The 24,349-nt window shown below is 40.0% G+C and overlaps 1 protein-coding gene and 1 long non-coding RNA gene across 5 annotated transcripts in view, besides 1 other annotated feature; one reads left to right on the top strand and one right to left on the bottom strand.

Moving 5' to 3' along the window:
• The window catches only part of MID1 (midline 1), a 388,374-nt gene that overhangs the window by 200,761 nt on the left and 163,264 nt on the right, over positions 1–24,349 (top strand). For 2 of the 4 annotated variants that reach the window (NM_033289.2, NM_000381.4), the window contains exon 1: positions 12,338–12,633. The exons of the other annotated variants lie outside the window; for them this stretch is intronic. The gene's annotated coding sequence lies outside the window, so the exon portion shown is untranslated. Of the gene's footprint in view, positions 1–12,337; positions 12,634–24,349 lie in introns of those variants that run through there. 4 annotated transcript variants of the gene reach the window in all.
• Positions 9,999–13,222, bottom strand: LOC124905245 (uncharacterized). Its single transcript, XR_007068391.1, has 2 exons — positions 13,083–13,222; positions 9,999–12,776 (listed from the first exon to the last, which is right to left on the bottom strand). It is a non-coding gene; the product is annotated as an uncharacterized LOC124905245 (long non-coding RNA).
• Positions 20,941–21,816: an enhancer, noted in NCBI's record as "OCT4-NANOG hESC enhancer chrX:10579147-10580022 (GRCh37/hg19 assembly coordinates)". NCBI's record gives its function as "activates a minimal SCP1, AML or CMV promoter by ChIP-STARR-seq in primed H9 embryonic stem cells {active_cell/tissue: H9 hESC(primed)}" and the evidence as "EXISTENCE:reporter gene assay evidence [ECO:0000049][PMID:30033119]".

Below are 24,349 nucleotides of genomic sequence, written 5' to 3'. Positions count from 1 at the left end.
TGAATGGGCATGGCTGCATTCCAATAAAACTTTATCTATGGGCACTGAAATTTTAATTTCACATACTTTTCATATGTCATGAAATATAATTCTTTTGATTCTTTCAACTATTTGAAAATGTTAAAAAAAAAATTCTTAACTCATGGACCATACAAAAACAGGTGGTGGGCAGGCTTGGGCTGGAGTACCTGAGTTTGCCAACCCCTGATATACAGAAGCATTTCCAAAACCAACAGCATCGGCCCTACCTGGGAACTTGTCAGAAATGCAAATTTCTAGGCCCCACCCCAGACTGCTGAATCAGAAACTCTGGGGTGGGGCCCTGTAACCTGTGTTTTAACAAGCCCTCTAGGGGATTCTGATGCCCACTCCAATTTGAGAACCACTGATCTAGACCTGTGGTTCTCAACCTTGGCTACTCATCAAAATTCCCTAAGGTAGCTTTTAAAAACTCTGCTCCAAGGCCCAGCCCAGGTCAATTAAATCAGACTTTCTGGGGGTGGGACTCAGGCACCCGTATCTTTTAAATCTCTTCCAGGTGATTTCAATGGGCAGCCAAAGCAACTAATGGTTCCATTGTACAAATAAGGGAACTGTAGCTCAGAGAGTTTAAGTGACTTGCCCAAGATACACAACAAGAAGAAACAGGTACAGCACAGCTCATTTACGTTTGTTTTTTTAGACATATGAGGGTTAGAATAGTACATTTGGTAATGGAATGTATTTGCTAGAAGCTTCAGGGGTCAGGTTACCTTTTATTTAGCACCAATTAATTTAACACATCTGAAAACATGCCCTAAATAAAATGAAAACTAGCTTTGGAAACTCATTAGGCCAGACAATGCAAGCGTAATTGAAAGAAATAAGGTGCAGACGCTCAGCAAGGTCCCATCTGAAAGCACTTTGGGGCTGAAGGGTGAGCTCCATGATTCAAAGGAAAGACAAATATGGAGAGCTAATGTCAGACATTGTTGCCTGCCCTGGAGCTACTTAGAAGTGTGTCTGAACAATTGCTTCCTGTTCGGTATCTGGGACATAGGTAAATATGTTACAGTCCTAAATGACATTAATGACAGAAAAAAAGTCTCCATGCTTGTGATGGATTTTATGACTCTTAAGGATTCCTGTGCCTTGGGCATTTTTAAGGCGAACTTTCAAATGATAAATATTTTGTTCTGATTTTCTCAGCAAAGACTTCATCATATCAAGGAAGGAAGAATATGGGCTACGTACCCAAAATAGAGCTGGAGAAAGCAATGCACGATGGAAACTGAGTCATGCAATGATTACAAGTGGAGTCATATAAACATACAACTGACTCTTTGACGTTTTTGTTTTATGAGTTACCTGATCATAATACAAGCTACTATTTTTGAGTATTTACTATGTGCTGTGTTCTCCTCATAGTTCTATGGTTAAGGGCATGTTTTCAGGAACTGGTCAGCCTGAGTGCACAAACTAGTATCTATGGCCTCCTAGCTGTGTGACTTTGGCAAGTTACTTTGCCTCTCTGTGCCTCAGTTTTCTCCTCTGGAAAATGGGGATAATATTAGTACCTTTTCTCATAGGGTGAAGGAAGATTAAATGTGCTCACAACAGTGTCTGGCTTCTAATAAGCATTCAATAAATGTTAAATAATATTATTTTTAAACAAATCACCTCAATTCTCACAATAACTTTGAGGGATATTAAGCAGATGGGCCAACTTATCACAACTATTAAGTGACAGGATTGATATTTGGACTAAGGCTGTTTCCAGCATCAGTGCTGCCAGCCACAGTGCTATACTGCATTGATTGGGAATAATAAATTAAGTATTTATGTTCAATTTTTTCCATGTATAGTATAAACTTTTGGGCATGATCCAAATATCCCTGGACCTTCTTGTTATCTGGATGATTTTACAAAGCCTCCAGACTGCCCCTCCCACAGGACACTGAAGCAAGGTTGTGGTCCCTCCTATCAACTGCTCCTCCTGCAGTTGTCCCCATCTCAGTAAATAGTGACTTCATTCTCCCAGCTGTCCCAGGAAACAACCTGGAAACCTCGTTTCTGCTCTTTATCTGACACATACAGTCCATCAGCAAGCCACACTCATTGTACTATCAAAATCTATCCAGGAACTCCCCAAGTCACCCCACTTCCAGTGCCACCCCCGTCCCAATCCACCATCATCTCTTAACATCTCCTGCCTTGCAGGCTGCTCTCTGTCTAGCAGTCAGACTGAGCTCTATAATATCAATTGGATATTGTTACTCCTGAGCTCTGAAACCTTCCCATCTCACTCCAAGGAAAACCCAAGATCCTTCTAGTGATCTACTAGACCCTACAGGATCTGCAAACACTGCCTCACCAACACCCACCCACAACCACTGCCCCCGCCCCCCGCACACATACACCCTCAGACACATTCCTGAGACTTCAGCTCCTACTACTGTAGTGCTTCCTCCCTCTGCTCCAACCTACATAGGCTTCCTGCGTTGGTTGAGTTCACCCTGGCCTCACAGCTTCTGCAATCACTGTTTCCTCTGCCCGGGTAACTCTGCCCCCATCCATCACTGTAGTTGAAAGTCTTGCTTCCTCACTTCCTTAGGACTTTGCTAAAATATCACCCTATAAAATATAGAAACTCCTCATCCCATTGACACTCCTTACCCCACATACAATAGCCCCTATCACCATCAGACCTACTTTCTACTTATTTGTTGATGTGTTTGTCTATCTCCCTTCACTAGAAGGTATGCTCATGACAGCAGCACTTAACCTATTTGTACCTGTCTGTATCGTCAGCACCTAGAACAATGCCTGGCACATAGTAGACACCCAATAAATACTTACTGACATGATCAGGCATGTTCAGGGTGTTATAGCTGTAGTCCATAAATACTTACTGAATACCTATGACCGTTCTGGCATAAAGAAGGTATACCATCTTTGTTAGCATATGGTTAAGGCATGAGAGTCTCTCCGATTCTTTTTCTTATATGAAGCACTTGTCTCTATGCTTGAGATCTTTGGATTCCCTGGGAGTGATGAAAATCAATTCATAGAGATGTACAGATATCTATCTATATGTTGCTAATGAAATCGATGGCTAGAACATTGATGCACCAATTAGCTCTGAATAAAGAAAAGTGCTCTAAGGCTGCATTCCTAACTGTGGAAATGAATCACACAAACGTATTCCACTAGGAACATCATTCAGCAATTCTGAATGGAAAAGGAAAACCTCATTCACAGTCCTAGACAAAGAGCCCTAAAATCCAAATCCTCCTCTGCATAGCACAATACCAACATCTTTTTCCATGAGGGCTACTCCCTTAACAGACAAATGCATTGTTTTTTCCTACCTCTGGTTGATTGGATGAACACAGCCCAAATTTGGAGAGCCATTTAAGGTGATTAAAAATCATTACAGTGCTGGCCAGGCTTAGTGGCTCACGCCTGTAATCCCAGCACTTTGGGAGGCCAAGACTGGTGGATCACTTGAGGCCAGGAGTTTGAGACCAGCCTGGCCAATATGGCGAGACCCTGTTTCTACTAAAAAAGAAAAAAAAAATAGCCAGGCATGGTGGCACTCACCTATAATCCCAGCCACTAGAGTGGCTGAGGCTGGAGAATAGCTTGAACTCAGGAAGCAGAGGTTGCAGTGAGCTGAGATCACGCCACTGCACAACAGCCTGGATGACAGAGCAAGACTGTCTAAAAAAAAAAAAAATCATTAAAGTGCTTCAGTTTGCTTCCAAATGTAATGGCAAATTCCTGACTCATCTTGAAGGTGCAACATGAGAGACTTTTGGAGGTAGATTGTGGTTGGGGATCTTAGAACCATCTAAGTGGTAAATTCCATCACCCCCATTGAGGCACAGGAGGTGAAGGAGTGTTTGTGATGAGTCATGGGCATACTGCATTTTGAGCCTCATTCCAAAGGGGACCTGCATCTGAACTAGGGTGCCAGCACCACATGCTGCTGGAAAGAGTATGGGTTCTCGAGTTTGAGAGATGGATTCCGATGTCCCATATACCAACTGTACACTTCCTGCATGTCCAAAAAGGGACTGATGTATAACTGGTCCATGATAGATACGAGAGTTTTTCAATTGCCTGCCTTTTAATTCAGCACAAATACCTCCTGGTGGGTTATATTATATCATATTATATTGTATTGTGCATCTCTGTAATGTAGGTACTCGTATTTTTATCTCATTAGACCTCTCAGTGTGTGGTGTATCAGCTGGTTTTAAATTCCCTTAATTGGGCTAAATTAATTTGCCCAGTTGAAGAAAAGTCCACCTATTTGCGAATTGGTTGGTTTCTAAAGATGACCATAACAAAATTATCTTTTTTTTCCACACAGATATAGTTTAGGACAAATATCACTAGGGCACTGTGGTACAACTTAAATAATGCTATGAAAAAGAATAGTTATTTTGTTCATTGTATGATGCTATTTAAATCACTCACATTAAAATAATATTAAATAGCATTGCTATTTATAAGATAATGTAGACAGGCAATATAAGCCCTTCCTTTTGTAAATTAATGATTCAAAGGAGAAATAAAATGAAGCCTCATTTGAATGTAGTTTCTCAGATATTTAGATTTCTTTAATAAATATGGGAAAAGCTGAGGCACTGATACCCATGTTTGCATTTTTTTCTTGCCATGACTAAATATGTTTATTTTGCATCAGGGGAATAATATAAGAAAGCCTATCTCAGTATGTGTTGATTTTCATAAGTGGTTCTCAACAGAAAAAAAAAACTTATGACAAGTTACCTAGTTATAAGGAAATAAGGGTAAATATTATTTCCTTGGCCATTAAAAATGTTAAAAAAAAACACACACCATGATCTGTGTGTAACAAAGGAAAGTGACACATAAACCATGATTCCTAAGTAGTTTTTATCTTTACTACCATCTTAGATCCAGGTATGTGTGAAGTGGGAGAGGATTTTCACCAATCAGAAATAACACAACCATCCTGGCAATCTTTCTGTTCATTTAAGTACCAATCTAAAAGATAAAGCATTGACTTTTTGTAAGCAAGGAGCGCAAATCCTGTTCAAAGCTTCTTTTGATTAAAATTTTTATTCACCTCCTTATGTCCACATGCTTATCAATGATCCAGCCTGATTTGCTTGTTTCTAACATACAAAAAAAGAGATCTGATTCATAAAAGTTAATATTTTTAATCTCTAAGACTAATTTAAATATCAGCTTTGTGCATTAAAATATTAAAGGTTTGAGGGACTAATCTTTCTCGTATATAAGGAAAGTGAGATAAAAGAATAAGAAGTAAAATGGTTAAATATGAAGGACAGTAACCAGCTATTCCTAGTCATACAAAAACCCACAAAAAATGGATTTAAATCAAGAATGATACCAATTAGGAATAAGAACAAAAGGTGGTTTTCGATTACTCTAATGAATTATTAAGGTGTCTTGGATATAGAATATTCATTCCTGGAGATCTAAAAGAATGTCCAAAACAATTTGGATCAGAACTGTCTATATGTATCTCTGGTTACATGTGGAAAAACTATCATAAGCCTTGAACAAATTAAAGCTGAAATGGTGGAAACAGGAAATGCCAATCAGGTCATATGTGTATGACGTGATCACATTACACTTGGGTTTCAGAATGGACCATTAGGCATATAATTTCTCTGAAGCTCTACCACGACTCTGGTCATCTATGGGCCAGATGATAATAAAACACTGCTAGTTCATAGGAAGTGACTTTAAGGACAAGAAATTGATTTAATAACCAGAGAGTATCTTTTTGTTTATTTTAAACTAATTTTAATTTTATCAAAGTAATACATGTTCAACATACAAATGTATGAAAGACTCTTAATGAAAAACAGTAATCCCTGTCCCATCCCACTCCACCCTAGGGACAATCACTTTCAACTGGCAAATATCTCCTCTGCTATGTATCTCCATATTTCCCATAATGTGCCTTTACTGCTCTTTCCTGGTTTATGAATTTTGGATATTATTCTTAACATTCTACATATGATCAAAAAGGAATTAGCCCTCCTCATCCCAATACCACATTCTTCCAATATAATGGTGTCAGGAATTATGTTCACCCAGTAACACAGATCCCAAAACATTGGCTCAAACAAATTAGCAATTTATTTTTTCATAGAACATGAAGCTTAGGGCTCATTTGGAGGCTCCAGGATGTCATCAGAAATCCAAGATCCTTCTATCTTTTCTGTTATCCAGCTTTACTAGGTGTTCTGTCCTCGTCATTGTTACAGAAAGGCCCCAGTCCCTCAGACATTGCAACCATTCCTGGTGGAGAAATCCAGGAAGGGCAAAGAGCAAACAGTGTGTGTTCCCTTTAAATAGCTTTCCCAAAAGCCCTACATAGCACATAGCAGCTTCTATTAAAATTTCATAGGCCTACCAGACATGGTGGTGTGAGCTTGTAGTCCCAGCTACTTGGGAGGCTGAGGCAGGAGGATGGCTCGTGCCCAGGAGTTTGAGGCTGTAGTGCAATATGAGTGTGCCTGTGACTAGCCACTGCACTCCAGCCTGGGCAACACAGCGAGACCTAGTCTTTAATAATAATAATAATAATAATAATAATAATAATAGTTTCATATGATCACCTATACCTGCAAAGGGGGCTGGGAAATGTTCTTCAGCTGGGCACATTTCTGCCCCAAGTAAACTGAGGTTCTGTTGAAAAGAAGCAAAGGGAAGATGAATACTGGATTGGCTACCAGTAGTCTCTGCCATAATATCTATATCAGAAATCACTGCCAAGTTAAGGACTGTTCTATAACAATGCTTCCTTTTTTTGTGCATTCTTTTGTTTTGCCTGGAGTTAATAATAGCCTCACATATTGCTTATATTTATGTGTAACTATTTGCCCTCAAATGTTACCTATAGTATCATTTTTCCCCCAGAGTCCTAACTCCAGGACTCCTCCATCCTCCTGCTACAATTTAGATGGGGCCTTTCTAAGATGCTGCACACAACTGCATGATAATTATGTAGTTATTATCCTGGACTTTCCTTACTTCTTTTTATGTTGGTTCCTCTATTTTCTGGGTCCCATTGACTTATCTTTCTTAGTTTAACACTCTCATTTTGCTAAAACACATCTTTGAGTGGTTTCCAAAGAAAGAGTACATGGGATGCAAAAATGTTGAGCCTTGGTATGAAAACAATTGCATTATATTCTGACATTTGATTGATAGTATGACTTGGTAAAGAACTGTCAGCTAGAAATCACTTAATCTCAAAATTAAATAAAATGGAGCTCTTAACTTCCAGCACTGCAGTTGATAAGTACATAATAAATCGATTAGCAAAATTTCATTATTGATAAAGAAGACGGCCTTCTACTAATGGAGATTTTAAAATTATTAATATTATTATTAGTCACAACAACTCAGTAAACATTTATTGACTGACCACACACTCTGTGCTTGTTGTTGCAATGGATATACAAATGTTTGGGCATGGGCCTTGTGACGGTTTATGTGTTAACTTGGCTAGGCTGTAGTACCCACTTATTCAACCAAATGTTAATCAAGGTGTTGCCATGAAGGTATATTGAACATATATGGTGAATATCTACAATCAGTTGACTTCAGTAAAGGAGATTATCCTTGATAATGTAGGTGGGCCACACCCCATTAGTTAAAGCCTTTACAGCAAAATCGAGGTTTCCCTGAGGAAGGAGAAATTCTGCCTCAAGTCTACAGAGTCCGCACCTGCCAGCCTGCCCCATGGATGTCAGACTTGCCAGACCCCATAGTTACATAAGCCTGTTTTATGTTTCTCTGGAGAGCCCTGACTGATACAGGCAATCACTTAAAAAATAATTAATTTAAATAATTTTCCTCTTTAAATTTAAATAAAAAATTATAGTAAAAAATAAATGACAGAAATTGAAGAATTATTCTTGGGAAGTATGATATTATTGTATTGAAATGAAGTAGAAAGTTCAATTGGGAGTGGAGATTTTGACCACAGGAGGAGGATATAACAAGCCCTTGGTAAATTCATGCATAAACCATTTTTGGCGGCTGAAGCAGGAGGATCACTTGAGCCCAGGAGTTCAAGACCAGCCTGGGCAACATAGCAAGACCCCCATCTCTACAAATTAGTAAAAAATATTAGCCAGGCATGGTGACATGCACCTGTGGTGCCAGCTACTCAGGAGGCTGAGGTGGGAGAATCACTTGAGTCCAGACGGTTGAGGGTGCAGTGAGCCGAGATTATGCCACTGCACTCCAGCCTAGGCAGCAGAGTGAGACCCTGTTTCAAAAAAATTTTAAAAAAGTAATAAAGTTAAATGAAATAAAATAAAAATCTTAAAAATTCATGCATAAACCATTTACCAGATTACTCAAGGGCAGATAATGAAGAATCTGCTATATTTAATCTTAAGACAAACTAGATGCTGTTAAAATATTTCACCTTTAAAAGCATAGAATTATTAAATAGTAAGGTTTAATTAACATTAAAAATGACATGATTTGCTTTGATTCCTTAATTTTCTAGTGAGGAAACAACAAGCTTAGGGTACATTTCTGACTACATAGATTTTTTCCCTTCTTTCCAGTGTTGGTCATCCAACACATTTACACAACAAGCAATAGCGATTGCACTGGGCACACTTCCCAATATATGAATTTATTCAAGCTGTGCAATTGTCCCCTGAGAAATCTTGGGCTTAGAGGTATCAACTGGCTTATCTGAGGTCTATTAGCCAGTTAGTGACCAAGTCAGCACAGAAAACTGACTCCAAGTCTTATTTGGCCCATCCTTGTGGTATGCCACATTGTTTCCCTTAACCAACTGAAAGAAACTAATTTAAGGAGTACCTGTACACAGGAAGTAGAAACTTTTTTCTCTTTTTGTGACTTTCTATAAGAATTATAGATGAGATTTTTTTTTCTAAGTGGGGACTCATGTTGTTGTCAACTTAAATTACCTTTACTAATCACTTCGAACACGGTATTCCATACATTTCCCTCTGTCCCGATAATAAAACAACTGGATTTCTGAAACCTCTGAGGGAGAATAAACATGCTCTTTTCATAGCTCCCAAAGTCTGTGCACTTGTACTGGGCACTGTCCAGGTGGCTGCATAGACAACTTCAGCTTGATTTTCATTGACTTTTGATGTGTCCTGACACACATTAAAATAACCTATGTGAAATTGCTGATATTCAGCCATTTTTTACTTACACAAACATTCACTCCATGTTCTTTGATCTATGAGATCACTGAGAGAGGTGGCACAAATACTGTTAGGTATCGTCCAAGGGCGCCACAGCAATGCCTGTCCATGTCTGAGTAGCGCTGCCTGTCCAGGACTATCCACCCAGAACCTATGTTAGGTTTGCTACAAGGTCTGTTAATAACCAAACCCGCACATAACTAACAAGATTATCGACTAGGCTGCTTTTTTTGAAGAAGAGCTTTCAAAACTTCCAACATCCCTTCAGCTAATATTTGCAAACATGTTTAATCACAGATTTGGGAACAGAACATCTGTTCGTTTGGTAGAGCAAGCTCTTTTACTCACTTCACCTTTCTTTTCTTTTTCCCTTCCTTCCTTCCTTCCTTCCTTCCTTCCTTCTTTCTTTCTCTCTTTCTTTTCTTTCTTTCTTTCCTTTCTTTATTTTTTTTTCTTTTTTTTCGGGGTCTTATTTGTCGCCCAGGCTGGAGTGCAGTGGCACAACCTAGGCTCACTGCAGCCTCGACCTCCTGGGTTCAAGTGATCCTCCTGTCTTAGCTCCCCAAGTACCTGAGACTACAGGCACACACCACCATGCCCAGCTATTTTTTTTTTTTTTTTTTTGTAGAGACAGCATTTCACCATGTTGCCCAGGCTGGTCTCAAACTCCTGAGCTCAAGCGATCATCCGCCCTCCTCGGCCTTCAAAAGTTCTAGGATTACAGGTGTGAGCCACCTCACCGGGCCTCACTGTTTCTAATAGGTGGATCAAATCCTCACTCAATGAACATTCTCCAAAGGACCATTTATTTCATTCAGAATTTTAAACATTTCCATTTGTTTATTTGTAAATGAAAAAGACTTTGTGTATCCCCACCTTTCATTTTTTTTAGAGGTTTTCTGAAACATGGAGGCAGCATATTTTATGGCACTGTGTTAGTTCAGGCTGCTATAACAAAATACTGTACCTTAGACTGGGTCATTTATAAACAACAGACAATTATTTCTCGTAGTTCTGGAGGCAGGTAAATCCAAGATCAAGGTGCCAGCAGATTTGGTGTCTGGCGAGGGCTCTCTGCTTCATCAGTGGCTCCTTGTTGCTGTGTCCTCACATGGCAGAAGGGGCAAATAGGCTCTCTGAAACCTCTTTTATAAGGGTATTTTGCTTTAAGGGCATAGAAGATGGAAGGGATTAATTTTTCTTGGGGCATTTGGGGAAATCACGAATGAGTGGTGACATTTGAGATTGTTGGATAGTTGGTGAGTGAGTCAAAGGAGAATAAAAATGGAAGGAACATTAAAAGGGCTCAGTCCTTGAGAGAGGAAATCCCAGCTCATATTTACCTTTGAGGTGATGAAAGCAGAAGGCAGACGCAGTTGTAGCTTCTACTGAAGGTGATAAACAGATGTGCCATGGGATTAAGCTCCAGTATTTAATGGCAGGAGCCCTGGGTAGCTTCCTGTGTCCTGTGGCTGGGGCATACCTAGGGCTGGGATAGACGCAATATTTCTCAAAGTAAATCAGAGTCCTTTGTCAGTGGGATAAAATGCTGATTCTCAGGCTCCTCAGCAAACCTACTGAATCAGATTATTTTGGTGCAGGGGCCTGGAGATTTGCATTTTTAACAATCTCCCCAGAGGTTTCCTTGCACCCTCAAGTTTAAGAACCACCCTTTCAAAGCGTGATTTCATCACCCAGGAGACATTTGGTAATGTCTGGAGACATTATTGGTCATCACGATTGTGGGGGTGCTACTGGCATCTAGTGTGCAGAATCCAGGGATGCTGCTACACATCTTACAGTGCACAGGACAGCCCTCACGACAAAGAATTATCCTGCCCAAAATGTCAATAGTGCTGAGATTGAGAAATCCTGAACTCCATCATATGAAGGGCTCTCAAGGAAAAGTACAAGAAGTGGACTGAAGTCAGTTTGTGTCACTAGGTGGCTCCTTAGGCTACTCAGGCAGGGGGCTAGCGTTATGGGCTTCCAGGCCCAGTTATCGGACCACCAAATTTTCACAGAACTGGGCAGAGCTCACATGTATTGAACCCATGCAGCTGACACTCCTGAAGCCACCAATGCATTATTTGCTAAGTAATTTTTTTTCCTCTGATACCAACACATTTAAAATCTTTATTGAATTATCGTCACAAAATTGCGGTCATTTCTTGGGGGAAAATATGCCATTAGTTCTACACAAAGTACTCTTTGCTCAACTTGCACTTTCTTGAAATCCAGAAGGTAGATTTACATTAAAATCATGTTGGCTAAGAGTTGAAAAAAGTTATTGCTTATATGGAGTTAAGAAAGCAAACTTTGGAAATTTTTTTTGGTCTGAGTTTGTTTCTAAGAAGCCAACTACTTCTCCAGCTCTCCTGCAATCCTGCCAAGGTGATGTCCAGCTTGTCCCTGTTAATAAGTTCAACAGATCAACCCTGTAGGGAAGCCAAACCATAGAGAAAGGTGGATGCACTAAATTTTTTTTTTTCTGAACAAAATGTCAGTGTGTATTGTTCTATGACAATAGTGTTATTTGAAATTATGCCTCGGGCCTTCAGTAGGTAAAGATTCTTGTTCATTTGCTGCATTTCAAAAAAATTGTGTGCACGTTCCCATTAAGATTTATTTTTCTTAAATTGAATATACAGTTAATCTATATGCAGATGAGGTAGGTAACACCCTCCTTTCTGGATTGTTCGTTTTAGTTAAGGTGTTACTCATAACAATTTGGTTTCCTTTCCAGTCTTTTGCAAAAGTAGGGCTTCAGTGCAAGATATCCTTTTAAAAATACCCTTGGGTCCTGAGTGTTGAACTTTTCTGGCTGAAATAATTTTGCACCTTCCAAATGTTTTAATGCTGTTAGGGAGCTCTTAAAATGCAAGGATTTAAGGCCCTTAGCTAGTTAAGCTTTTAGCAGAACTAGAGCTGTTAGATAAGAATAGAACTCATCCTTTACTTTTGGAGCTTTGGACATTGTTTCCAGCTGCTTCCAGTCATTTGAATCCCGAAAGCGCCCCTAATCCTCGCGGAGGCAGCCTTTCTGGCTCCCAGGACCCACCCCCTTGCTTCTGATTGGCGAAGCTCCTCCGCGGCCCAAGCCAGCCACCTACAACGTCTCTGAGAACTGATTTGAAATAAGAGCCAGGCGGTCCTCGCTTCCCTGCGACCGACTTTTCATAGGCTGGGGGAGAAAAGGTTGAGAAACTTGACATTGTCTCGAGCAGAGTGCGTGTAGCAACAGATCAAAGAAAAAGAGGACGAAAACGTGCTCTTTGCTGCCCGTAGATTTCGCCGGGTTGCTTTTGTCTTGCGGGCTCCTGTCGGGTTCGGTGTTTCCGCTCTGAAGACTGCGACGCGGGCTCCGATGCAGCTCGCTCCCTGCCGGATGGGTCATGGGATTCTAAACATGAGGCAGGTAAGCTCAGGCGGTTGCGCTGGCGGCGGAGGGGGCGGGCGCCGCCCGGGACCCCTGCGACGTGTTACTGCGGAGAGCTTGCTGGGTTAGCAGGCGCCTGGCCGTAGTCGATGCGTTTGGCGGAAAGACGGGGCTGCATTTTCCTAAGACAACCAAAGAAGCACATTTTACCTGAGCCACCCCGGTCTGGTCCTCGCCACCCGCCCCCACTTTTGCCTCTAATTGTGGTTGATGTCAGGCAGTCGTTGTAAAGGGCTTACAAGCAGTTTGTAGAATATATGTAAATCAATTCCAGTTTGCGGCCGCTGGAATGTATCGTGCAGGATGTATCTCGAGCTTTTAGTGCCTCTACCCTATGCTTTGGGCTAGAATAAAGACAGCTGAATGTCCTGAAAAAGAATTTCACGGGGCCTCTTATCTCATTTTGGTTTCGCATTCTGAGCACTTACTGTGTTTCTGGCGGAGAAGGCGGAACCAGCTTGAAATGAGCACAGACAGTCCTTCCAGAAAAATGCAAATTTGTTTTTCTGTTCTAGCAGTTTGGAAACTGTATTGCTTCTGGACGTGAGAAGGCAGCCCTGAAAGTAGTGAGCGGAGAAAGGGCTGGGGGATTACTTAAATGAGTCTTTGAAAAGAATTCTAAACCAACAGCTTCTTCTGTGGCTCTGGGGCATGATGATAAAATTCCTTATCAGTCCAGGAAGAGGTTTATAGCTTTGCTGTTAAGCAAGAAAAGGAAAGAAAAAGTGGATGTAGGAAGCCAAGGAGAGGGTGTGATTTACAACTCAATCAAAGTTATGGAAGAATTTTATGTCAATATTTAAATATCAAGAACAATACTCATATAAGGAGAAAACAAGGCTGGAAAAACATGCCAATAGGCTTGGAAGGGCAGGGATTTCAAGAGGAATGCTATTGCTTTTACCAGCTCTGAATAAATCTGGATGGGAAAGTTAGCATCTGTATCGCAACCGGAAAAGCTCTTCACTTTTTCTTCTAAGTGGGTTGGGTGCTCGCCACCCTGCACACTTTGGGGGAAGTGAGCTTTCCATTTAAGAGCGCAGGGGAGGGGTTTCGAACTTTCTGTCCCTTTCCCACAGCCTTGGGAGATGAAGCAGAGCCCCCTTCGAATGGTCAGCGCAAACCCTCCGCCTTCTTGCCCCCTCGCTTGTTCGCTCAGCAAGCAGGCTTGGCAAGTTTCAGTGAGTGCAGAAAAACACTTGCGGAGGAGCAAGTGCCGTCTGCTTGCAATGAATTGCCCTTGCCTTGGTAGGGACTGTGGGGAGGACGTCTTTAAGTTCTGCAAACTCACAGTCCAACCTCATACTTTTAATGTCTACTAAAGTGGGATGAGGAAAAGGAAGGAGAAGGGTAATTGGAAAGGATTGAAAAGGAAAAAGAGGAACGCAAAACATTTTTGACAAAGGTCCTTAGCTGGAACAAAGAAGTTATTTGATCCTGTGCAGAGCCACCTGTCCTCTCCTCGGTGGTGTCTGAGCTCAATTTCCAGAATCCCTGTTCCCACACAATTCCTCAGGAACCATGGCAGTCTCCGTGCCTTATGCCTAAGGTTTGCTTCCCCCAGCTTGGAATGGTTTTTCCCATGCCTAGTTTGTTGTGGCATTTACGTGAAGTTGGAAAACAGCCCAGTATTGAAATTTTAGGGGTACAAGTACACATATAGTGAACTCCTTAGTTATTTAATGAATGGGCAACTTTTCATCTCACAGCTACGTATGTCTACTAATTTTTTTGGCCTGTTCAGAACTTTGAAAGAGGGTGGGATGGAACAGGGGAGGAGATGAAGGAGAGAGACAGGATCATTGTTCATCCAAAGAACGAGGACAGTTTCCAGAATCTAGCATGTTGTTCCACTGCAGTCAGAACAAGAATGTAGGGAGGAATGAGATGGCAGTGTTATTGGCATGGGTTAATCCCTACTTTATTTGAGTTTCTCTTGGGGAAACCTGACTGTTGCATCCAGGCAGGGTGAGTCGAATTCACCAGCCAATTTGTCATCTCAGCCCGGCAGCTCCAGCTGGATTTACAGGGTTAACTATCAAACAGACCTGTGTGTCATCAGCTCAGCAATGAAATTGGATCTCTTTGCTGATGAGTGATCTGTCCCTAGGGCTGCACAAATGTTGTACACTGGTGTGGCAGCCCAGAAGAGACCCCTGCCTGCCACTGATAGCCAGAAATTCTGGGTAGCCAGAAATTGCCCGCAGAATTAGAAGGCTGTTTGCCTAGCTATAAGATTCAGAGGGGTTTGGGCTTCTGCCAGGTTGGCAGAAAAGGAACATTCCTGAAGCCACCACTTCAGGTGTAGAAGGATAGTATTCTTTGAGGGTTCCTAAGGCCACGGCTGAGTTAGGCCAAAGAAAAGTGTAAATCTGATTCACCTTGATCAGGAAGTAATTTTAAAATATGTGCCAACCTGTCTCTGCCCTCTGATCATAAACGGGAAACTTTTATGAACCTTCCTTGAGAAGGAATTTGCTCTGTTCCCAGGCAAAAGGAAAAGCATGGCCACCTGTTCTAGAAGCCTGGCCGAAAACAACAGGTTTGCCTGTGGCATTCCCGCAACTGCATATATCCTCCCCACATGGCAAGCCACCCATTGTCCCTACACACAAGAAGAACAAATAGTTCATTCTTGAGCTGGGGGAAAAATCAGATTCTCTAGGCAAAATTGCCTACTAGACATATTTTGTGTTTTTAACATCCTGATAACTTTAGAAAAAAAACTCTAAGGGAAGAAGGTGCATGATGTATTTCTGATCTACTAAAACAAAGTAAGTCACGTAGCTGCTAAATTCTTGCAAGGCCAGGATGCTGCTGTTTCAAGGAAGCCGTGAATCTGTTTGGTTAGCCCGTTCTGCATTCTTTAGATTGGAATTAAAATGCCCAAGGACATCTGGCTTAATAATGAAAGTCTTCGTATTAATCTTTCCTCTGAGGATTAGAAAGTCCTTTACAAACACGATCTATTTATTCTCTGCCACATCCCCAGGAGAGAATGAGGTGGCAATTTGATCCTCATTGAACAAATGGTGAGACGAAGGCAGAGAAAGGTTAAGTATAAAGAGACACAGCAAGTTAGGGGCAAGTCTGGGGATGAATACTCACCCACCCAGAAAGACTACCTGTGCAGGTTTAGGATCTCAAATGGCATTCTAGGGATTAAAACAGAATCTCTCTTACGACATTCTTTTTCTTATCATTCTGTAACTGGCAAGTATATTGTGTCCCAAGTATGTTGTATGGTTTCCTTCATTTGAAAGTCCAGACTCTTAACAGTTCAAAAGGCAGTTCTGTTCTCATTTCTCCCAACATTGAGATCAGGCAGCTTTTATGAAATCTAATAGAAAGATACAGTAACTAACTGGAATTTTAAATATGCATCTGAGAAATGTTCCCTTTCAACAGATGTTTTAAGTTTTTGCACATGGTTTATAGAGCTCAGTGTCTTCAACATATGTTAAAATTTTAATTTCTTCTCTGCTATCTCTCTTTCAGCAAATGTTATAATCATAAGACTTGCTGTCAGTTTAAAGATCCTTGTTGGTCATTTTGAAATAATTTTTTTGAGTCATGTTTTTAGTTCGCTTGGCTGTAGACCGCATAGGCTACAAGCAAATCCGTTAATTGGTAGTTGCATGTTATCCACAGACATTCCAGCAAGTTTTAAGGCTAAGTGCATATGTGGATGTCTCCTGGCTTTGATCGTTTGTGTGGTAAATAGACATCCAAGGTAGCTATGGCAACCTGGGCTGTGCGTTGGTGAAAGGAGGGGATTTAGTTACTGGACAAAGAGTAATTTGTTTGATTAGAAAAAGGTAGGGGCAAATCAGGACATTTTTAACCCACATGATTTGAGGATCCCAGTTCAATCAAATCATTTGGATTTTTCTCAATAGGCAAAAAGAAGTAATGGCTAAGCGCACCAGAGTATCTTGCAGACGTAATTTAATTATTTTTAAACAAGTGGTTGCTACTTTCCAAAAGCAATTTATACAATGAAAAGGAAGTACAATATATCATATAAATATCATCAATATCCCTATTGTACTAAGTATGAACGTTTTTATTTTCAGAACTTGATGGGACTTTGAAAGACCAGGATCTGATTAGAGGTGTGCATTTCAGTTATCTACCTGCAGGGGTCAGGCTTGAAGTTCCCGTGGTCGGAAGATCAGGCAGCGGACTTCACTGCAGGGAGCCCGAGGCAGAGTCAGAGAGAATTGCTCTGCTTATTTGGAACAATTAGTTAGCGATTCTTTAATCTTGTGACCAAAGCTACTATGAAAATGAGTTCATTCAAGGAAGAGAATATCAAATACGCTGTGATTAAAGAAAGGGCGATAAAGCCAGGTCAAACAGCAATCTAATCTCCGTTTACATGTAAGGCAGTTTATCGGGAAGATTCTGGCTCATTATCAATTCCTTTGATTTCACACAAAAGTGAGCTCAGCGGTTTTGTTCTAGAAATTTGTTTGCCCAGTTTTATGAGCTGGCATGTTATAAAAATTTCTTTAAACTAAAAAGGACACAATATTAGGGAGCCATCTGGATCCGAAATATTTTTCCCCCTCTGGAGGAAAATATTCCATTGACACAAGATCAGGATGGTTAATGGCCTCCAGGAGGTCAGGTGATAGTAGGAGCACAGAAAATTGAGGCGCAGAACAAAATGCCAAGAGGGGACTTTCCTGAAAAAACAAACCAGACCAAAGAAAATAACTTACCTGCTTTGCGCTATGAAAGAGAGGTTCTGAGTAAACATGGAAGAGGTGCTGATCATTTGTAGTACAAGTGGATGTTGAAGGTCTTATATTCAGTCCAGTGTTTATGATGAATATAATATAAAGGCTGTCCTTCCTTTCTTATATCATTCAATGACATTTACTGAGCACTCACAGAATTAATATATTCTGCCACATTATACGTGATTATTAATGTGCCAGGGCACTTTCTGGGTTCCAAATATGACTTTGGTAAGGCCCCTGCCCTCAAAGAACTTTTGATCTGGTGTACAATTTATTGTACCAGTAGCATAATGTAGGTTTTTCCATGGTCAAAATGGATGCTCATTAATATCTATATTTGTATGGGTAGGGATCCACTTGAAAAACTGATGGTATCCAAAACCTTACTGAACTTAGGAGACTTGAGAAGTGATTTGTAATTGTGAAATTTAGTTGATTTTTAGCCCACATGTCCATTTGTAGAAATTTATGACTTCTTACATAAAGCAGATTTCTCATAATTATTAAATAGTAATTTATTTTTCTCAATAGAGAAAAGTAACTCATAGGTAGTCCCCAATCTAGGAATACTTTATGTTTTAGGAGTTTGTTGTTTGAAACCCAGAGCATTTTCCAGCGAAAAATAATCAATCTGATTAATGTGAGATCAAGTTCTGTGTTTTGAGGACATGCCACTGTGTTATACAGGATGGAAACAGAAGGAGAAAGAATTGGCATACTTTTGGTAATAGGCCAGTCATGGCAATATTTGAAATAGGAAGTTCGTACTAGTTTTCACCTTTCTTTCTCCATCCTTCTGATGTCTTCTGGTCTCACTGGGGCATCTCCCCCAGGCCTGTCCTAATATATAGTGAATTCATAATTGTTCATCTTCCCACCCTTCCCTTCCCCACCTCCAAACCACTCTCCTGTTTCCTTTAGTCAATGGTCTCTACCACATGGCAGGAAAGAAGTAATATGGGTGAGCCAAAGCTCATGACTCTTATCCCTTTAACCCTTAGGATGAATCTTTAATTGGGGAAATTTCAAGCAGTGGAGCCTGGAGCTACAAAACACATGATTTTCCTTTCAGGGACAATATTTGGGGGCAGGGCCATGCCTTTGGCAGACAGAACTTGCTGGTGTGTCTGCCCGTGGGTCAGACCTCTTCATTTGTTCTTTCTCAGCAACCTGCCTGAACTTCTGGACCCACTAGGGTCTTTGTGAGTAACAGCCAGGGAGCCACAGGCCCCCAGTTGAGAGGGAATTATGGCGTTTGTGGGTTTGGGTTGTTTGTAAGTATGCTCTTTGTATGCTGAGCACTGTCTACTTGGATTAGAATAAATGGAAAGAAAATAGCTGTAGCATCCTCTTATCCACACGAGTATTTGAGTTGGTGTATATATTTCTACTCGTTTGTCTGCTTATCTTGGAACTGAGTTACTCCAGAGCAAGAGTCACATATTAATTACCTTTGAATCCCCAGACCCAAGCCCAGTGTCTGGCACACAATAAGAATCATTAAGTGTTCTACAGGCACATGCTGGGTGAATTTTAGTAAAAAAGAGAATGGAAAATGCTCCTTAAAATCCGAAGGGATATGAAGAAGAAAGGGCATTAGAAAGGTCCGGGAAACAGCAAGGACTAAATAGATCAGTAGTAGAGAAAATTAGCATAGGTTATGATTACTGAACTATATGTATATGGTTTTATATATATATAGTCCATTTATATACACATAGTCTCTCTCTGTCTGTCTGTCTGTCTGTCTGTCTCTCTCTCTCTCTCTCTCTCTCTCTCTCTCTCTCTATATATATATATATATATATATATATATATATATATTCCTTTCAGTTGTGTTCTGGGCAAGAACACAACCCAAAACATGGTAAGCAGCTTGGCTTATCCTCTGTTTGATTGTTCTGCAGAAATGATTACGAAATGGGTCATGCCCTCCAATAGCTCAAAGCCTAATCGCCAAGATAGAATCTGCTGCTTTCTCTCATTGAACCCAGCCTGATAGTTTAGGCCTTAGGTCCATGTGCAGTTGTTTAATTTTGCAGGTGAGTGGCATGCCCAAGGTTACTCCAGAACTGAGATAGCGTGTCTGAGAGAAGACTGAAGCCTTCTCCATGTAGATGGTGGCCACATTTTTCATAGTGAAGTTCAAGATTTGTGCCGGACAAAGCATTTTCATTGCTGGTAGGTGTAACAGACCAGAAGTTATAGTTAAAAATGACAAAATAGAAATTTCAGGGACATTTAATAGTTTATGGAAACAACAGGACTAATATATTACCAAAGGGTCTATGCGGTAGACTGTGGTATCTGTCCTATGTCAAGTTTTGGAGTGTTGCTTTGGTTGTGTGTATTTAGAAGTGGTCTTCCCCAAACAATTCGGAGGAAGGGGGATGTTACTGGGAAAATGGAATTCATTGAATGCCCTGCTGAGTTAATAATAAGTAGATGAATGGCCAAATAAAGCAATATATAGATGGACGGCACCACCAAATATTATTAATAGAGATTTATTTACTTACATAGGATCAAGTCTTCTGTACGAAATACATTAGGAATCCAGACTAAGAATACTGGTTAAAGTTTAGCATTTCTGGGTTGACGTTTTAGCACAAGAAACACTTTACCCTCCATCTGGGAGCAAGGTATGAGGGAGACTTAGGTTCTACACCTAGAAGCTAAGTCTTCTAGACTCCCCATCTCATTCTCTTTTGTGACTGTACCACATGCCTTCTACTAAGATATAATTTGGATGTTTTCAGGTCATGTGCTATAATTCAATATGCTAATAAATTCCAAGGCAATTTGAATGGAATGTTGGTTTATAATGAGGCAACTCAGGAAAGACTACATCATCTTTAGTGGAAAATACTGTCCAAAAAATCCAAATAGTTAAATGATCTTATATTTGGGTTTTGTGCTTCTTTTATGTGTATATTCTTTGCTCTGATTTTAGTTAAGTATGAAAATGTCAGACAGCAAAAACTAGGAGGATTATATTTATATAAAAGAAAGTTTAGGGAATGAGATGAGTCATTTAGCCCATGAATTAATCAGCTGTGCTTTGAGGAAATAGTGCAGGAAGGTAAAATGGAACAAATAGACGAGAGAAGAAAGCGTGACTTCTTTTAGTCAACATATGATGGGGAAAGCGGTAGAGAAAAATTGGCTATTTGGTGAGTGATTCACTTGAGTTCCTTTTCAGTGGTCAATGTTTAAAGTGAAATCCTAATGAGATTGTTGCTGCCCTTTTTGTACGGCTCTGACTAAAAGAGGGAAAACAGTCATAATAATTAATTGAGAGGGGTATGACTTTCTGAGTAGATAAAAACATGATAGACTATTAGATAATGAATATTTATTGCTTGATGCTTCTCAGTCTGGAAGAGACACTTTCTGAATATTTCTCCGCTTTCTAACATTTCAGCTGTCAGAATTGAATGGTTCACATATAAACTACATTGTTTTGGTTTAACTAACAAAGAGTGATAAGACATGAATTGTTTGTGACAGCCCCGAACATTGATAACAGAAGACATTAATGCCTGCAGACACAGCCTACATGGTAAAAATCTGGAAACAAAAATGCTTATTATGTTAGGCCATCGTGCTTTGACCTAGTTTTGCTTTTCTGCTTGGAAATTATGTCAATATTAGTTACATCATCCCTTCGGATGAGCAATTCCACATTCTTGTTTATTTCAGTGTCATATTATTAGTTTTTGTATATTTAGTTCTGACCTCTGAGGAGCCAAACTAATCCTCATTGACTTGCATTTTCCTTTTGAAATGAGACTTCTGCATGATAAAGAGAGAGGATTTTATGTATTAACAAAACAATCTAAGATGCCTCTTTAAAGGCATTCATTTCTCCTTGATCCGGAGCTACTGCCCTCTTGAAGGTTCCTAGAGGCCATCCAGTTTTCTGCTGATCAGAATTAGTCTTTTTTTCTTTGTCTTATGGGGATGGAATAGATTACTGGGCCTAGAACTGCCATAGTTGAATAACAAAAAGTAAAACTGTGAGGCTGATGGGACATTTCCCAGCCCATCATCCTTAAATTTGCCCTTTTCATGTTTCTGCTTTACTTCTTCATCCAGCAGAAACGGGCTTAGCATATTTTTCCCATTTAACATTTTTATTGAATACTTTTCAAAATGAATTATTTCCGCAGTTGATTTCGAACACATTTTTTTCTGTCATTTAATACTTTATATCACTAGAGGAAAGAACCATTTAATTCTTTCATACATTTATGAATTCTAATCTTCAAAGAGTGTGAGTTCTTCAAGTGATCAACTTACATCAAATTTACAAGTATAATTTACTACCAAAAGACCTTGAACGCTTTTTGGTGCACATGTTTTGGCATTCCTTATTAACAAATGTAATGAGGCAAAAGCCCACAAGAATATGTATTCCTGGTTCCTCTTTAAAAATGTACCATTTGCTCTTATTTTCTAATTAAGGCTTTGAAGGTTAAAAATCCCTTTGTTGTTAGCTCCTTTACAAGTCTCCTGCCTGAGTGCAGAAAACATAAGAAGGGAGTGTCCTCTTCAGAGCATAACCAAACCAACTAAATTTTAACCAGGTAAATTGTTGATTAGCATTGGATCATGTAAAGAAACAGTATGAAAGTAATTGAGATAGGCACAACTCCTAATTGTGTGATCCCAGGGGGCTTCAAACATTGTTTGAAACATTCACCTCAGAGATTATATTCCATGTCTGATCCTTATGCTAATTTGAATACTAGGATCCTGAAGAAAAACTTTATAGGATTTCTTGAGTCCCTAATTGGTATGTAAACATCGTCATTCCCAAGCTGCCCAAAGTTGTGAATTATAGTATACCATGTGTCTCCTGTTGTGATATCAATTTCTACAGCAATTTTTCTGCTTGTTGTAGGCAAATGTAAATATATTTCCCTCCTCTTACACAAATAGTGGCCTTTCACATACATTATTCTTCACCCTGGCTTTTTTCTGCTTTAGAGTATACCCTAGAGATCTTTCCATAACAGTCCACAGAGAGCTTCCTCTTTAAAAACAAAACAAAACTGCATATCATTGCACTATGACGATGTACCATAATTGATTTGACCCTTCCCCTACTAGTCACGTGGAGTGTGTCCAATATTTTGCCATTAAAGCAATGTGCACTGAAAAACGTTGTGTTCATCAGTTTGTATGGGGCGGATGTATCTGTATTAAAAATCCCCAGAAGTGGGATTGCTGGGCCAAAGGGCAAATGCAGTTTCTAATTTTGATAAATAAATAACATTGTCTAACCAGCCTGTGTGAGAGCACTGCCCCAGAGCCTCATCAATAGAGAGCATTGTCCAACTTGTGCACCTTTGCCTATCTGATATCTGAAAAGCGGCATCTCTGTGTAGCTTTGCATTCTCTTCTGAGTGACGTTGAGTGTCTCTGCATGTGTTGAAGGTCTATTTGCATTTCTTGTGCAATGTCTGCTCATATCCTCTGTTTAGAAAAACAAAAAGAAGGCCGGGCGCGGTGGCTCACGCCTGTAATCCCAGCACTTTGGGAAGCCGAGGCGGGCGGATCACGAGGTCAGGAGAACGAGACCATCCTGGCTAACACGGTGAAACCCCGTCTCTACTAAAAATACAAAAAAATTAGCCGGGCATGGTGGCGGGCGCCTGTAGTCCCAGCTACTCTAGAGGCTGAGGCAGGAGAATGGCGTGAACCCGCGAGGCGGAGCTTGCAGTGAGCCGAGATCGCGCCACTGCACTCCAGCCTGGGCCAAAGTGCGAGACTCAGTCTCAAAAAAAAAAAAAAAAAAAAGAAAGAAAGAAAGAAAGAAAATGCCAGGTCTAGTACAACGATGTTTGATGGGTTTTTTTGACAATGATAAAACTACTATTTAGTAAGAGAATCACTCCCGGCAGTAGACTTAGAAGCACACTATCAGAGACCCTCGAGTAAAGACCCTAACGTGCCACATCTTAACTCTGTGACCTTGGGTTGATTCCTTAAACTTCCCAAGTTTCCTCACCTGTAAAATTGAAATGATGTGGACAACTCACAGGGTTTATAGAATAATCACTAAATGAAGGATTATATATATAAATGATATATAAAGCACTTAACAGAGTATTGGTTACATACTAGGCACTTAAAAATGTTAGGTTAACTTCTCTTTTTTTAGGTACAAACTTAAGGTTTCAGAGAAGGCTGGGTTTTATGGACATTTCTACCTCTTACCCTCTGAATGAATACACATCCACCCACACAGAGGCATGTAAATATACACATATGTACACACGGTGGAATAATATCTGAAATGGCTGTAATGATTCAAAAGCATCTCTTTAGACAAATGTGTGTGTGTGTGTGTGTGTGTATGCACGTGTGCATGTATATGTATAAATATCCCTGTAATGTAAGAAAACTAATTTGTTGCTAAAAATGTACCCTTTTCGGACAAATTATCCTAATATGCTAAAACAACACCAAATAGTATTAAATGGACATGATCACTTATCACTACCTTTCATATTATAATCCAAAAAAGCATATTTTTCCTTCATCTATCTTATTCTTTACAACAATTAAACTCTTTTACAATGTTACACACCTTATACTTACAGCTATACCTAGAAATAAAATTACACTTATACTCATGTTTATGTATTTCTGTCTTTAAAACAAAAAAATAAACACAGCAGTAAATACAAAAGGTAGAAATGGAAAAAATGCATTTTAGAGGGCATGGTGCTGAGGGCTGAGAATATAACACTGGTCTTTAAAACAACTCTACCACTGTGAATGAGACCATTTGGGTGATCTTGTTTCCCAGGGCTGTGTTGTTACAGAAACATAATTTTAAAAATTGTATTTTGAAATAATTACAGATCCATAGGAAGTTGCAAAAAAATGTACTGGGCAGTCTGCACCCTTTACCCACCCCTTACCCCATCCCTAAC

This window comes from Homo sapiens, chromosome X, assembly GCF_000001405.40.
Source record: "Homo sapiens chromosome X, GRCh38.p14 Primary Assembly".
Taxonomy (NCBI): Eukaryota; Metazoa; Chordata; class Mammalia; order Primates; family Hominidae; genus Homo; species Homo sapiens.
Note: the sequence above shows the minus strand (reverse complement) of the source record. Positions and strands in the feature narration are given on the sequence as shown.